This window comes from Homo sapiens, chromosome 14 (assembly GCF_000001405.40).
Source record: "Homo sapiens chromosome 14, GRCh38.p14 Primary Assembly".
Taxonomy (NCBI): Eukaryota; Metazoa; Chordata; class Mammalia; order Primates; family Hominidae; genus Homo; species Homo sapiens.
Window position 1 is genome coordinate 44747721 of NC_000014.9, and position 14799 is coordinate 44762519.

Sequence of the window (14799 nt, forward strand, 5' to 3'; positions counted from 1 at the left end):
TGGGAAAACTGAATATCCATATGCAGAAGACTGAAACTAGACCCCCTGTCTCTCACCATATACAAAAATCAAATCAAAATCAATTAAAGACTTAAATCTGAGATCTCAAGCTATGAGACTACTACAAGAAAACATTGAAGAAGCTCTCCAGGACATTGGTCTGGGCAAACATTTATTGAGTAATACCCAACAAGTACAGGCAATCGAAGCAAAAATGGACAAATGAGATCACATCAAGTTAAAAAGCTTCTGCACAGCAAAGGAAGCAGTCAACAAAGTGAAGAGACAACCCACAGAATGGGAGAAAATATTTGCAAACTATCCATGTGAAAAAAGATTAACAAACAGAATATTTAAAGAGCTTAAACAATGTCATAAGAAAAAATCTAACAATCCAATTTTAAAACGGGCAAAAGATGTGAATAGACATTTCTCAAAAGAAGACATACAAATGGCAAACAGGTGTATTAAAAGGTTCCCCACATCATTGACCATTAGAGAAATGCAAATTGAAACTTCAATGAGATATCATTTCACCCCAGTTAAAATGGCTTATATCAAAAAGTCAGGCAATAACAATTTCTGACAAGAATGTGAAGAAAAGGAAACACTTGTACGCTATTGGTGGGAATGTAAATTAGTACAACCACTATGGAGAACAGTTTGGAGGTTCCTCAATAAACTAAAAATTTAGCTACCATATGATCCAGCAATCCCATTATTGGGTATAAACCCAAAAGAAAGGAAATCAGTATACTGAAGAGATATCTGCATGCCCATGTTTGTTGCAGCACTGTTCACAATAGCCAAGAATTGGAAGCAACCTAAATGCCCATCAGCAGATAAATGGATAAAGAAAATGTGGTACTCATACACAATGGAGTACTATTCAGTCATTAAAAAAAGAATGAGATCTTGTCATTTGCCACAACATGGATGGAACTGGAGGTCATTATGTTAAGTGAAATAAGTCAGGCACAGAAAGACAAATATTGTATGTTATCACTTATTTGTGGCATCTAAAAATCAAAACAATTGAACTCATGGACACAAAGAGTTAGAAGGATGGATACTAGAGACTAAGAAGGGTGGGGGGGTGGTGGTGTGGCGTGAGGATGGTTAATCAGTCAACAAAAATTAATTGGAAAGAATAAAACCTAGTATTTGATAGCACAACAGGGTGACTGTAGTCAATAATAATTTAATTGTACATTTTAAAATAACTAAAAGAGTATAACTGGATTGTTTGTAACACAAAGGATAAATGCTTGAGGGGATGGATATCCCATTTTCTATAATGTGATTATTATGTATCGCATGCCTGTATGAAAACATCTCATGTACGCCATAAATATATGCACCTATTATGTACCCAGAGAAATTAAAAACTAAAAAAGAGTAACTTCCAAAGTGAGAAAAAGAGGTTTATGCTAAATTTTTCAGTTTTTCTCATTCCCCAAGCATCCAAGCAGAAAATGAATCCTGTGGATTTGTTATATAAGAATGGCCCCAGCAGAGTCCAGCAGAAATATGATACGAGGAGCTGAAGATGTCTCCAATCCAGTCTCCACTGTCTCACCTCCTACACATATGGGAATCCATTTTTCTTAAGCTTCGCAGGGTGGGGGGCAGATTTCATTGAAAGAGGAAGGACATGGGTCCCAGGACTCAGGAGAGATAGTGAAGTCGTATGGAAATAAGGGAAGTATCTATTTGCCACCCAAAGAGCTAGTCCTGAATCTTGATAGAGAATGGGATGCAAGCAAAAGCCAAATGGCAGGTGCTGTTTTGACGAGGGTGATACTAAGACATTCAATAGCTCTGGTCTCATCACTTCACCCCAGGATAACCTGCATTTGCCTATTAACTGGTTTTTCTCTATCTCATGACACCCCTTCAATTGACCCTGCACAAAGCTACCAGAGTAGTCTTTCCAATGGATTAATTTAATAATTTCATTCTCCTGTTCATGAGACATCAAAAGCTGTCCATATCTTTACTGGCATATCCAATTTACTATCCTACTCTTCCTGTCAGTCCCAACACTTGGCTACATCAAATCACTGGTAGTTACTTGAATATACCCTACTATTTCATGCCACCATCATTTCACATAGCTATCCCCTTTTCTTGGGTCACTCTTTTTCTTCCCCACACAACCAATATGCTAACATTTATTTGTTATTTAAAATTATTCAGGCATTGCTCTGCAAGGAAAGCCTTTCCTGGTCCCTAGAATGATTTATGTACCCATCATCTGTGTCTCCAAAGCACCTGCATTTACCTCCACCACTTATCCACTGTTACTTTGCTCTCACCCCCATGAGAATGTAAGACTGCAAAGGTCTTTGAGAAAGTATTAGTCATCTTTCTTTAATCCCTGTACTGCCTGCTATATAATAAATACACAATAAATTTTTCTACATAAGCAATATAACATTGTTTTCATAGAAACATATTTTCCTAGTTCCAAACAAATTGATATACAAATATATTTTGTGAACTCAATCTGTTCATAAGTTTTATAGGCTCTATTATGGAAAAATGAAAGTCACTTCGTATACCACACATGAATAATCAGTTGTCAAACAGAATACAATCAAATACACCAACTCCAAAACTGAGGCAAATATAATTTAACTTTTATTAATTCGGTACCTTTTTCATATCTTGGGATGCCTCATAGGCATAATCATGAATATCAATTTCCATTGTATTGTACATAAAATATGCTTACATAATGATAAAGATTTTTAGCCTTGATGCCAGAACATTTGGTGTATTATCATTTATTATTTTGCCAGAATTAATGCTAAGTTGCATGCCATACATTTCACAAAGAATGATCTTAGCTATCTATAGCTGCTACCAAAGCAAACCTTCCAAGAATCTTAAAACAAAAAGTATGGTGATATCACAGACACCAATACAAACTCACTGGAACTGCAATGAAATTCACCTTTCTTTTGTCAAATTTTAATTTAGGTAAATATTTTTCCAATGTGAGAAATCTCTGTGCTGTAAAACACATAGAAATTTCATAAAATGCCCTCCAGAGCTAAACTTTCTAAAAGTGCACAACATATCTATGTGTTGAAGATTACTTGCTCAACTTGCTAATGGCTAATTGTTTAAAAAAATTAATATGCAGGTCCAAAGGACAAGAATAGTCCTTTCTCTGCCTTGCTAAGCCTCTCCTGTTTTCAGAAATATTGGATATATATTTTTCCAAATAGTTGTAAAAGAGTTATTCCTAAACATTGTGCTAGACACACAACATCTAGTAATAAATAATTATAGAAAAATCCTTCATTTCAACGAATTGTGTGTGCCCTGTGCTCAATTAACTGTCTCTTCATATTATGATTTGAAATGCCTTTCACATTAAGGCATGTGTTATTTTATGTATGAAAATGAGGCTATTGAGATGCCAACAGTGTGACTTGCATTTTGCGCTATTTTTCCAAACACTAATAATAGGTTTTCTCTTAGCCACCCATGTTTTGGTCAATGACAAGTATGTGTGAGATGGGTACCTGGAATTCTAGCATTGTTTATAGCCACATAATAGAGATTTATTCTGCATAATATAGTGGATTTGAGAGGACAGAATATTTTAAAGGAACAGATCTCAGGAGAACTCACTCGCTATCCGAGGACAGTACCAAGGGGAACGGTGCTAAACAATTCAAACTGGATCTCAGGAGATCCAGGAGATCCTTTAAAAGCAGGCTTCAACCAAGATAGCTAGCCTTAAAGATACACTAACTGTCTCAGTCCATTTGGGCTGTTATAACAAAAATACCATAGACTTGGTGGTTTAAACAACAAACATTTATTTCTTACATTTCTGGAGGCTGTGCTGACAGATTGGGCATCTGGTGAGAGCTCTATTCCTGGTTCATAGACAGCAGTCTTCTTGCTGCATCCTCACATAGTGGGAGGATTGAGGGAGCTCTCTGGGGTCTCTTTTGTAAGGACACTAATACGGTTTTGATCTGTGTCCCCACCAAATCTTATGTTGAATTATAATTCCCAGTGTTGGAGATGGGGCTGGTGGGAGGTGACTGGATCATGAGGGCAGATTTCTCATGAATGATTTAGCACCATCCTCCTTGGTATTGTCCTCAGATAGTGAGTTCTCCTGAGATCTAGTCCTTTAAAAGTATGTAGTGAAAGTATGCATGGTCCTCCGCCCTCTCTTGCTCCTGCTCCGCGCATGTAAGATGTGGCATGTAAGATGCGCGTGTAACATGTGCCCCGTCTCCTTCCACCATGATTGTAAGTTTCCTGAAGCCTCCCCAGAGCAGAAGCCACTTTGGTTGCTGCAGAACCATAAGCAATTAAAACCTCTTTTCTTTGTAAATTACCCAGTCTCAGACTTTTTTTTTGTAGCAGTGTAAGAACGTACTAACATAGGCACTGATCCCAGTCATGAGGGCTCCACCTTCATGATTTAATCACCTCTAAAGGTCCTACCTCAGGCCGGGCGCGGTGGCTCATGCCTGTAATCCCAGCACTCTGGGAGGCCGAGGTGGGTGGATCACGAGGTCAGGAGATCAAGACCATCCTGGCTAACACGGAGAAACCCCATCTCTGCTAAAAATACAAAAACTTAGCCGGGTGTGGTGGCGGGGGGCTGTAGTCCCAGCTACTCGGGAGGCTGAGGCAGGAGAATGGCTTGAACCCGGGAGGCGGAGCTTGCAGTGAGCCGAGATCATGCCACTGCACTCCAGCCTGGGCGACAGAGTGAGACTCTGTCTCCAAAAAATAAATAAATAAATAATAAATAAAGGCCCTGCCTCTAAATACCATAACACCAGGAATTCAGTTTTAATATATGAATTTTGGGGAGGACACACACATTTGGTCCAGAACACTAACCATAACTCAACAAAGCAAATTGTGCATTGAGAATGCACAATTCTCAATGTGATGTGAATGCTCCCATATCACAGTGATGTCAATATCATGATCATGGTTGTTCTTACCTAAAAATTAAATTCCAAAGCTCTAGTCATCAGTAAATGCTGACAACTTCTAAAAGAGCTAAGCCAAAAGAACCATTAAATTAGCACATACTTCTACAGTGTGAACACTAGTCCTTTGATGAGCATAAAAGCTTGGATGTTATTTGTCACCATTTAACATTATGTCCTCCCTTTTCAGGCTTGTTTTTTCCAGATAAGCCTTTTTTTCACACTCCACAATTTTTTTATTAGCACTTCTCCATGAAATGGGCCTTTTTATTTTTAGCTTTGCCTAGATTAAATTCCCTTTGATATATATTTCAAGCTTCCCCCTTTGACTAGCTCAGCATTATAGACCTCACTGAATCCTTATTCAAATGGCAGGCACGACACTGCTCCCTTCTCTAATCACAGCGGCCATCCTCTAACAGAAGCTATTCCAAGGCTCCTGAAAAAAAAAATCATGTTTAATCTGTGAGGAGAAATTTAAGGTGGCAGGATTTCATTTCTGTAATGTATATACGTGTGTATAAGATACAAGAAACACAAAAAAGTGTTGCTTGAAGCTTTTTTGTTTTGTTACAAAAGCAATACATAGGACCCATGTATTGAATTACAATTATTCTGGCTTAATTTGACTACTGTGGGTCATGGAATGTATTGTCTAAGGAACACCTACAAAATGAAGTCAAATGAAGGACTCAGATCTCAGACAAACACAAATTGGGAGGTAATGAAATAGCAAAATTGATAAGATTACTCCAGCCTTCATCTCTCTATCAATAGAGAGACCTTTATTTACTTAACTTGCTATTTTCAAAGGAAGTATTACGAGAGAAAATTAAAGAGCTATAAACCTATAAAAAAAGGAATTTTCATCCAGATAAAGTGAAACAGAAGCACCTAAGCCCTAGGAGTTTGAATAAGTATTTCTTCAAACTTATACTTTATGCATAGTTGACAATAAAAACTCAGTCTAATAAATATATATATACCAAAAAAATGGTTTCTTAATCCTCTTCATGTTAGAACTTATTTCCAAGTCAAAAATTAGTATCTCCATTAGGGGCTTAGGTTTTAACTCAGCACATCTCTAATGCATCCAAATTTACTCTTCAATTAAACATTACTCTTCAAATTATAAACTTAGCACCCAGCTATCTCAAGGATTGGCAATAGATGCCCTAGGGAGAATGAGTATGTATAAAATAGTCATTGCTGACTGTTCTTTAGATCCTATGAATACGATAGCAGTCACTGAATTTATAGCTTAATGGGTGAATGAGACATGTAAATCAATATACATCAAGGCAAAAGAATAGGAGCTAGATTGGAGGCATAAAGTACTATAAGAGTTAAAGTTGAAAGAAATTCCAACAGATTAGGGAAGTGTTAAGATTTTCCTGAAAAAAAAAAAAAATAATTGAGATGTGTCTTAAAAGTTCACTATGAATTGTAAAGACACACATAAGGAATCTGTAAGATATAAGAGAGTTGAAGTAAAAAGAAAAGCATGTCAACGGCCTGAGGTACGGAGAGACCAGTAATAGCAATCTGATTTGATTGAACTGTAGTTCAGGAGAAAAAAGAGAATGGGAAAATAAGTTAGAAAGAGGTAAGCCAAGGTAATTTCATGGGAAGCAAAAGAAGGAATTTGTACTTTCATAGAAGTACAGAATTTTATAGTTGAAAGGAACTATAGAGCCATCTAGAACAACCTGCTGATTTTTCAATTGTAAAAACAGAGGCCCAGACAGATAACATGAATGACACCACTTGCTAGTGGCAAAGCCAAGATATGAATAAAGGTCTCCAAGACTCCCGATTCAACGGTCCTTACACTCCTTTGCTTCTGGGTAGAGAGGAGACAGGCTTAGAAACATGTTAGGCAAAGATCACCTCAGCAGCATCTGAAGAATAGATTGAAAATGAGAAAGAAAAAAAGCAGAGATTCTATTTAGAAGACCTAATAGACTAGTTCAGGTGGGAGATAATAAAAGCCTGAGCCAAAGTGAGAGTAATGAAAATAGAAAGGAGTAGACGGATTTCAGTAGCATTTCTCAAGCTGATAATTCTGTAGGGTTAATAAGTAATGGGAGGGGGGAAAAATAGTTCTTGTTCATTTAATTTTGCAAGTGCTAGGTTAAACCAAGACAAATATCTTCACTATAGGATTTCGAAAAGCTTTACTATGCTAATGTGGACTAAGAACCTCCTACATTGAGACAGAGAAAACAACGTTGCCCAAAGTGTTTTAAAAAGAATTTTTAATAGAATACTATTAACATGAGTTTTCAATGAAAACCTAGTTTGTGAAATACCATTAATATATGATAAACATGGAGGATTTTGTGAATGCTTCTACCAATGTGGAAAAATTGACTCTTCAGATTCAAAAGCCTAAGTGCAGAAGGAAGCTGGTTTATTTTGACATCTCTATTATTGACTATAAATCAAAGAAATATATCCCATCAGTGTCTATAACAAGAACCCAGTTTGTCTTAGCCAAAATGTCTTGTTGTTATACCATTTCAACCAGTTGGAAGGTAATCTTTCTAAATTGCTTGGGAAAACATAGTTGTTTCCTAAATGGGTGAATGGTTTTAGGTCCCAGGAAGATTTTAATATTAATATGGAAATCTTTAAGAGAACTAAGAGTGTAGTATTAATATTTGTTTGCATATTGGTTTATATACACTTACCATTTAAGAATATTTGGCCTATTTAAATAACAGTTCAGACTTGTAATCCCAATTTAAAATGTTTAAATAATTGCAGACTGGTGGTTTTAGTTGGCATATTACTCTTAAGGGAAATTAAATTTCACCACATTAATGTGTAGTTTTTTTTTAATTTATAAGCATTAAGAGCCTGAGAACATTTTTATAGAAATAGATGATTGTAGTGTTTATGAGACAAATTAAAAATATTAAATTTCTAAATACAAGTTGAAATGTTTAAGTGAGTTCAATTAACTAAATTTGTAAATGTTCCCAAATATTTAATACTAATTAAAGGCCCCTTTAATAATAGCTAAAATGTGTTGATTTATAAACAGAATAAAACTTATAAGCTGAACTTGAGACCTAAAGAAAGAATTATTGTTTTGTTTGTTGTTTGTATTTTTATTTGTAACTTCAATAAACTGTATACTAATTTTAAATATCACAGTTCATATTGATGAACTTTGAATAGTGTTTTCTGCAGAGAAACCTCCCTAAAGAAAGTAAACCTCACATTAAACACAATTACAAAGAAGTCAGTGAATTGTTGGCTGATGGGTAGATTACAGACACCTTTGAGACAGTGGGTTGGGCGCAGTGGTCAGAGCAGAGGGTGGAAGATGCTGGTGGTGAAGATACGGAGACAGAGTCACAGACCATTGTATTAGTTTCCTATTGGCTGCTATACAAATTACTGCAATCTTAGTGGCTTAAAATGACACAAATTTATTCTCTTACAGTTCTGGAGGTCAGATATCCAAAATGGGTTTATAGGGCTAAAATCAAGGAGACAGAAGTGCTGTATCTCCTAGTCTGTACAGGCTGCTATAACAAAATACCATAAACTAGGTGATTGATAACAGAAATTTATTTCTCACAGTTCTGGAGGCTGGGAAGATCAAAGTGATAGCAGATTCAGTGTCTGGTAAAGGCCTGCTTCCTCATAGATGGCCAACTTCTCACCGTGTTTAGCCACTACCTTTCTTTACCCTCTGCCATGGCAATGTTCCACACAGTGGCCGCCCATCAGCCTGGGTCCCAGACAAAGCAATGCAAAGCCCGCAAAGCTGCCCCATGATATACATATAGTGTGAGTGGGAAATAAACCTTTGTAATTTTAAGCCACTGAGATTTGGAAGTTGTTTGTTGAAGGAGCATGAACCAGCCTCTTGTGATTAATACAAAGGCACTAAAGAGTTTCTACACTTCCAAAAAACATTTGGCCTAACCTATAGTACTTAAACTCTGAAGTGCAAGATGCAGATTACGTATTCAGAAATATTTTCTCGGTGACACAAAAAAAGCACAGAATGTGGTGCCAAGTACAGCTGTAGAATTGTCTTTGCAGGCAGTGTTTGAGAAAAGTGTCTAATCCAGGTTAGGTTTCAAGCTGCCTAATGATAAGGCAGTAGATTACATAACCACTCAAATTTCCTTCCAGCCTTATGGTTTTACACGCTTTAGTATAATGCCATTCTGGAAAGAAGTAGGTTACAGAAAAGAAACAATATGGTTCATATTCTAGGTTAGTCAGCAATTTCTATAGAATGTCAGTTACTTTAAGATTCACAGTGACTTCAATGCTATTAAAGTAACATTGATGAACTATAACAATGCCTTATATAAATTACTTGGAAAAATGAAAGACCACAGCAGTGGCCAAAATGTACACAGTCAGAGTAAACTAAACACTTTTTATTTTACTTAAAAACATATATTCTTCCCAAATTCCAGGCACTAAGCTAGACCCACAGGTAGAAAGATAAATAGGAAATAGTCCCTGTCCTTCAGGGCTTACAGAGGCACAGTAAAAAAAAATTAATCACAGGGCAATGTGTTAAGTGCTATAGTCGAGGGATAAATAAAGCTTTAAGTGACCACAGAGGATTAAGTAATAATTAACAAAATGCGTCAGAGAAAGCCTCTAGGAAGAAAAAAACTTCCATGCTATTAATTGTTGCTGAAATTATATATACATACACATACATATATAGTGACAGAGAGTTAGGATATACATATACACATGCATATATATGTATATACATATACAGATTTTAGCTACTTTAAATGCATAATTTATGTCCTCATTTACCTAAGACATGAAAATAAATTGAATATTTTGGAACAGAAATAGTAAGCCATAGAATACTTAGGATTATCCATTTTTAAAAGCCACCCTAAACATAATGACCTCTATCTTTGATGATTCAAAGAGAATTGCAGGATAATAAAAGGCCTTGAGTTGTTACCTACAGCAAGTGACCTTAGCCTCCAGCCTCAATTTCTGATCTATGAATGGTGATAAAGCCTTCCCTGCAGGAGTATTCTGAGGATTAGAAATAACACAAAAAAGCACCTGGCAAATAATTTGTCTTCAATAAATAGTAGTTGTTATGGTTACAATGTATTTGCTACCACTAGCATTAGGAGGCTAAACAGAACCTGCTCTGACCCTAAAACATGCTGTGGCAGTTACGCTTTTGAGTGCCTATTAAGATTTTGTTATGCATTGTTTTTCTTGTAAAAGTATAGTATAAACTTAACCTCCCCCCCACCAAAAGAAAATTCAGCATCTGGGCTTTTTGATTATTTGAATTCAGAATCAATAGGAGTTCATAGGTTTTGACGAAATGAAAGGAAGAGAAACAAAAACATTGTAAAGTAGAAAATATATAAGGAAATGAAGGATTCAAAGATATCTGGCAACTCCAGTCATCAAATCAAAATATTCATTGAGCTATAATTACTGCTGGAGGATTCTTTCAGGCGTAAAATATTACAATCATATTTAACATTTCTTCTCCACTATACAAGGAAAGCAAACTATGACGTAGCTAAATAAATGCCTGGGTGGTAATTATTTTACCTCTTGGTTATAAATTACTCAAAAACAGTACCCATGTTTACTAAATATCTATGCAATACTTTAAATAGTAAGTATATAGTATAATATGAAGAAACTAGAGCAGATATAATCTCTAACAAATTTTTACATCATTTCTTTTTGGAGCGTAAAATAAGAATACAGTCAAATGATAAAAATAAACTTTCTTTAGTCTGTGATCACAGCTGATTAGGAAATGAAGATTTAGCAATTAGATAACTAATGTTATATATAAAATTACATTTATACTTAGAAACTCAAATCTGTATTACATACACATATTGGGAGAAAATTTTCCATGGGTCTCTTATGTTTCTGCATGTCTTACGAGCAGTAGCACTGACAGTTTTTGTTCCAGACTTTTTTCTTTTACAATGTTTCTTAAAAATGATTTATCTCTTTTGCAGTACTCTCTCTTTCTCCACCTTTATTGAGGCATAATTAGCAAGTAAAAATTATATATACTTGTGGTATACAAGTTAATGTTTTGATATACATATAAATTGTGAAATAATTCCACAAAATCAAGTTAATTAACGTATCAATCACCTGACATTGTTACCATTTTTTTTTTTTTTTTGGTAGATGTGGTGGAAACACTGAAGATCTATACTCTTAGCGAATTTCAAGTATACAATACAGTATTGGTAACTATATTCCCATTGCTGTCCATTAGATTTTCAGAACTTACTCATCTTGTGTAACAATTTCACTTCTGGGATATATCCAAAGGAAATGAAATCATTATCTAAAGGAGATATCTGCATGCCCCTGTTCATCACACTATCATTACAATATTACTCACAATAGTCAAAAGACAGCAACAACCTAAATGCCCACTGATAGATGAAAAGATAAAGAAAAAGTGGTATATATACATAATGGAATATTATTCAGTCTTTTAAAGAAAATTCTGACCTTGGTGACAATGTGAATGAACCTGGAGGGCATTATGCTAAATGAAATAAGCCAGACACAGAAATACAAATACCACATGATCTCACTTATATGTAAAATCTAAAATAGTCAAACATAGAAATGGAAAGTAGAACGGTGGTTGCCAGGGGCTAGGGGGAGGCGGAAATGGGAAGATACTGATTAAGTGTTGCAGTTTTAGTTATGCAGTCTATTTTTCAAGGCTGTTTTCATTACAGCTTTGAAAAATGGATCTAGAGTCTCCCTTGGGAACAGTGGACAGATTTATTTGCTCTCCAGTATAAGAATGTCTCCTTCTAAGATAAAGACTGAGCAGTTTTGTTTGCAGTTCATTATGAAAGACTGGAGTTTCCTAAGCTCAGAGTTCCTTAGCTGAGATGCACACTGTGATAGTTAATTTTATATATCAACTTGACTGGGATAATGGATGCCCAGATAGGTGGTAAAACAGTATTTCTGGGTATATCTGTGAGGGTGTTTCAGGAAGATATTAGCATTTGAACTGGTAGACTGAGTGAAAAAGATCTGTCTCACCAATGTGGGTAGCCATCATCTAATCGCTTAAGGGTCCAAATAGAACAAAATTATGGAGTAAGGGAAAATTTATTCTCCTTCCTGAACTGGGACATCCATCTTCTCCTGCCCTTGTACCTTAGCCTTCTTTGGTTCTCAGGCCTTCAGACTCAGATTGGGGCTTACAGTATTGGCTCCCCTAGTGCTCAGGTCTTTGGACTTGGACTGGAGCAGTACCACCAGCTTTCCTGGTCCTCCAGCTTGCAGATAGAGGATAGTGGAACTTCTCAGCATCCATAATTCCATGAGACAATTGTTTATAATAACTCTCTTTTTATATATCGGTCTATTTCCTACAGGTTCCTATTGTGCCATGAGTAACAGTTGTTGTCTTTTTTCTGGCCCAGAAGTTTCGTGACTTTGGTCAGCATCCATGAAACTATGACAGGTTAACTTGTTAACTTGTTCATAAGGTAAACTCTCAAACCCTTCACAGTTCTCGATAAGGCATGGCTTAAAGGTTAATTATTCAGTGACTTATGAACACAGTTTAGAAAAAGGGTAACTTTCAACTGAACAGATATTTATTGAGAACCTAGTGTGTACAAAGTATGCTGCCTCAATTCTCAAGCTCCAAATTATATATATGTCAATACAGGCATGGAGCAGGAATGCCGACATTAGGTTCTTTCAACAAAAATTAAAGTTTTTAAGACTTGAAGAGACTAATAACAAAATTCCACCGATATGTAGTTGCAGTGCAGTGGGCCTAAAGCAGACCAATTCTAGTGTGTGTCTCAAAAAACTTTTAAATTCTGACATGCCTGGATCTTCAAATGTCAGGTCTATAAAAACCTCAAGTCTAAGTTCCCACTGATAGACTTGAACCCTGCCCTCAGGATTCAGAGGGAGGAAATGGCTCAATATTTCATGTCCATTAGCCAGTACTAAACCTACTAGTATTACATCCAATCCATCCTAAGCTTATCTGAGAACACGTACTTTTTTAAAAAGAGAAATATCTTTAACTTCAAGGTTCACTGTAGTTAACAGGACCATATAACTTACCATTCAACCAGGGACACTTTTGGGAAGTAAAAAGGGGTGCTATTAATAATTATACTGAGACAACAGACATAAACCAGGACTGACTGAGGCAAACTGAGACATATCATTAGGCTGAATACACCACCTACATTCCGAAGAGTTCAAAAAACCATTCCCTTAGCAAAGCCTTCAGTAAGTTTGGAAGAAAATGTTTTTGTATGCAGCTCTAGATGCTAAGCTTCTCTCACTTTCAGGTTGGTTATAAACTTCTAATTAGAGGAAAGCTAACCAAAATCTAACAAATGCAAAAAAAGGAGCTTTGCAAGCTATTTTTTAAAGCATTTTCTGTGACTGGCTCAGCACCCATTTACTTCTGATAGAGAGTTATTTTATTTTGAAATGACTTGCAAGATTTCATTCAGTGTCATCCCTGCAGGGGACACAAACTCCAACTAGCATCAAGAAGAGTTGTACTGCTAATTCCCTGAATACCACACTGTTAATTAATCTCAGTGAATAAAAGGATTTCTAATATAAATTATTCTGACGCCATCCATTGCCTAAAGCTGTTTCTGATGATCTATAAAAAATGTCAAAAGAAACACTTTAGTCACCATGTGATAGAGAATTTGGACAAACAAGCAAGAAAATCTGGTTGAACTGAAGTCAGTGGTAGCTAGGCCAACAGAAGCCTGTTAAAGAACTTGAAAGAATTTCATTTTCCCAAGAGTTGTTTTCTCTTCCTAAAGAGCAACTACGATGAAATCAGAACATGAAATTTCACTAGGAGGTGACTATGAGGGACAATGAGTAATGTAAAACAACTCGGGCTATTTCTCTTCAAGGCACATTTCCAGAGAGATCTGATGGCTTGTTTCTTAAGTAGTGCAGGTAGTTGCTGAGGAATTCATGTTGGTGTTGTCTTTGCCCTTTGAGCATTCTGAAGAAAATGACTTGTACTGTATATAATCAATACTTAACAATCCAAACATTGCTGCTATTGCCTCTCAGTTTTCTCCTTTCTTTCCATGTTGTCCATCATTGCTATATAGAAACTATAAATCAAAAACATAAGACAGTGGGCAAGATGCTTATATCCTCCTCATCTGGTTGATTCTTCCAGGAAAGAATTCCAAGTTCTTTGACATTCTTCCTTGATTTATTCAATTCTGAACATCGATTTACTTTAAAAAGTACAGGCTAGAGATCTACAAAAAACTTTGGTGTCTTTGAAACAGCACACTTGTGATAAAGACTGTTAATTGCCCTTCAATATCCATTATCCCTTTCTTTCTTTCTTTCTTTCTTTTTTTGAGACGGAGTCCCTTTCTGTCACCAGACTGGAGTGCAGTGGCACGATCTCGGCTCACTGCAACCTCTGCCTCCTGGGTTCAAGTGATTCTCCTGCCTCAGCCTCCTGAGTAGCTGGGACTATAGGCACGCATCACCACGCCCAGCTAAATTTTTTTGTATTTTTAGTAGAAATGGGGTTTCACCATGTTGGCCAGGATGGTCTCGATCTCTTGACCTCGTGATCCACCCACCTCATTCTCCCAAAGTGCTGGATTACAGGTGTGAGTCACCGCACCCGCCCATCCCTCTCTTTCTTCTAGTATTGCCATTCCTCAAATGTTAGGGGGGTTGTATATTATTACCCAGTAGAGACTGTGTTCCCAGGACCTTGCAAGCAACTAAGTGTAGGCTAAGTTCCCCACCATCCCCTGCA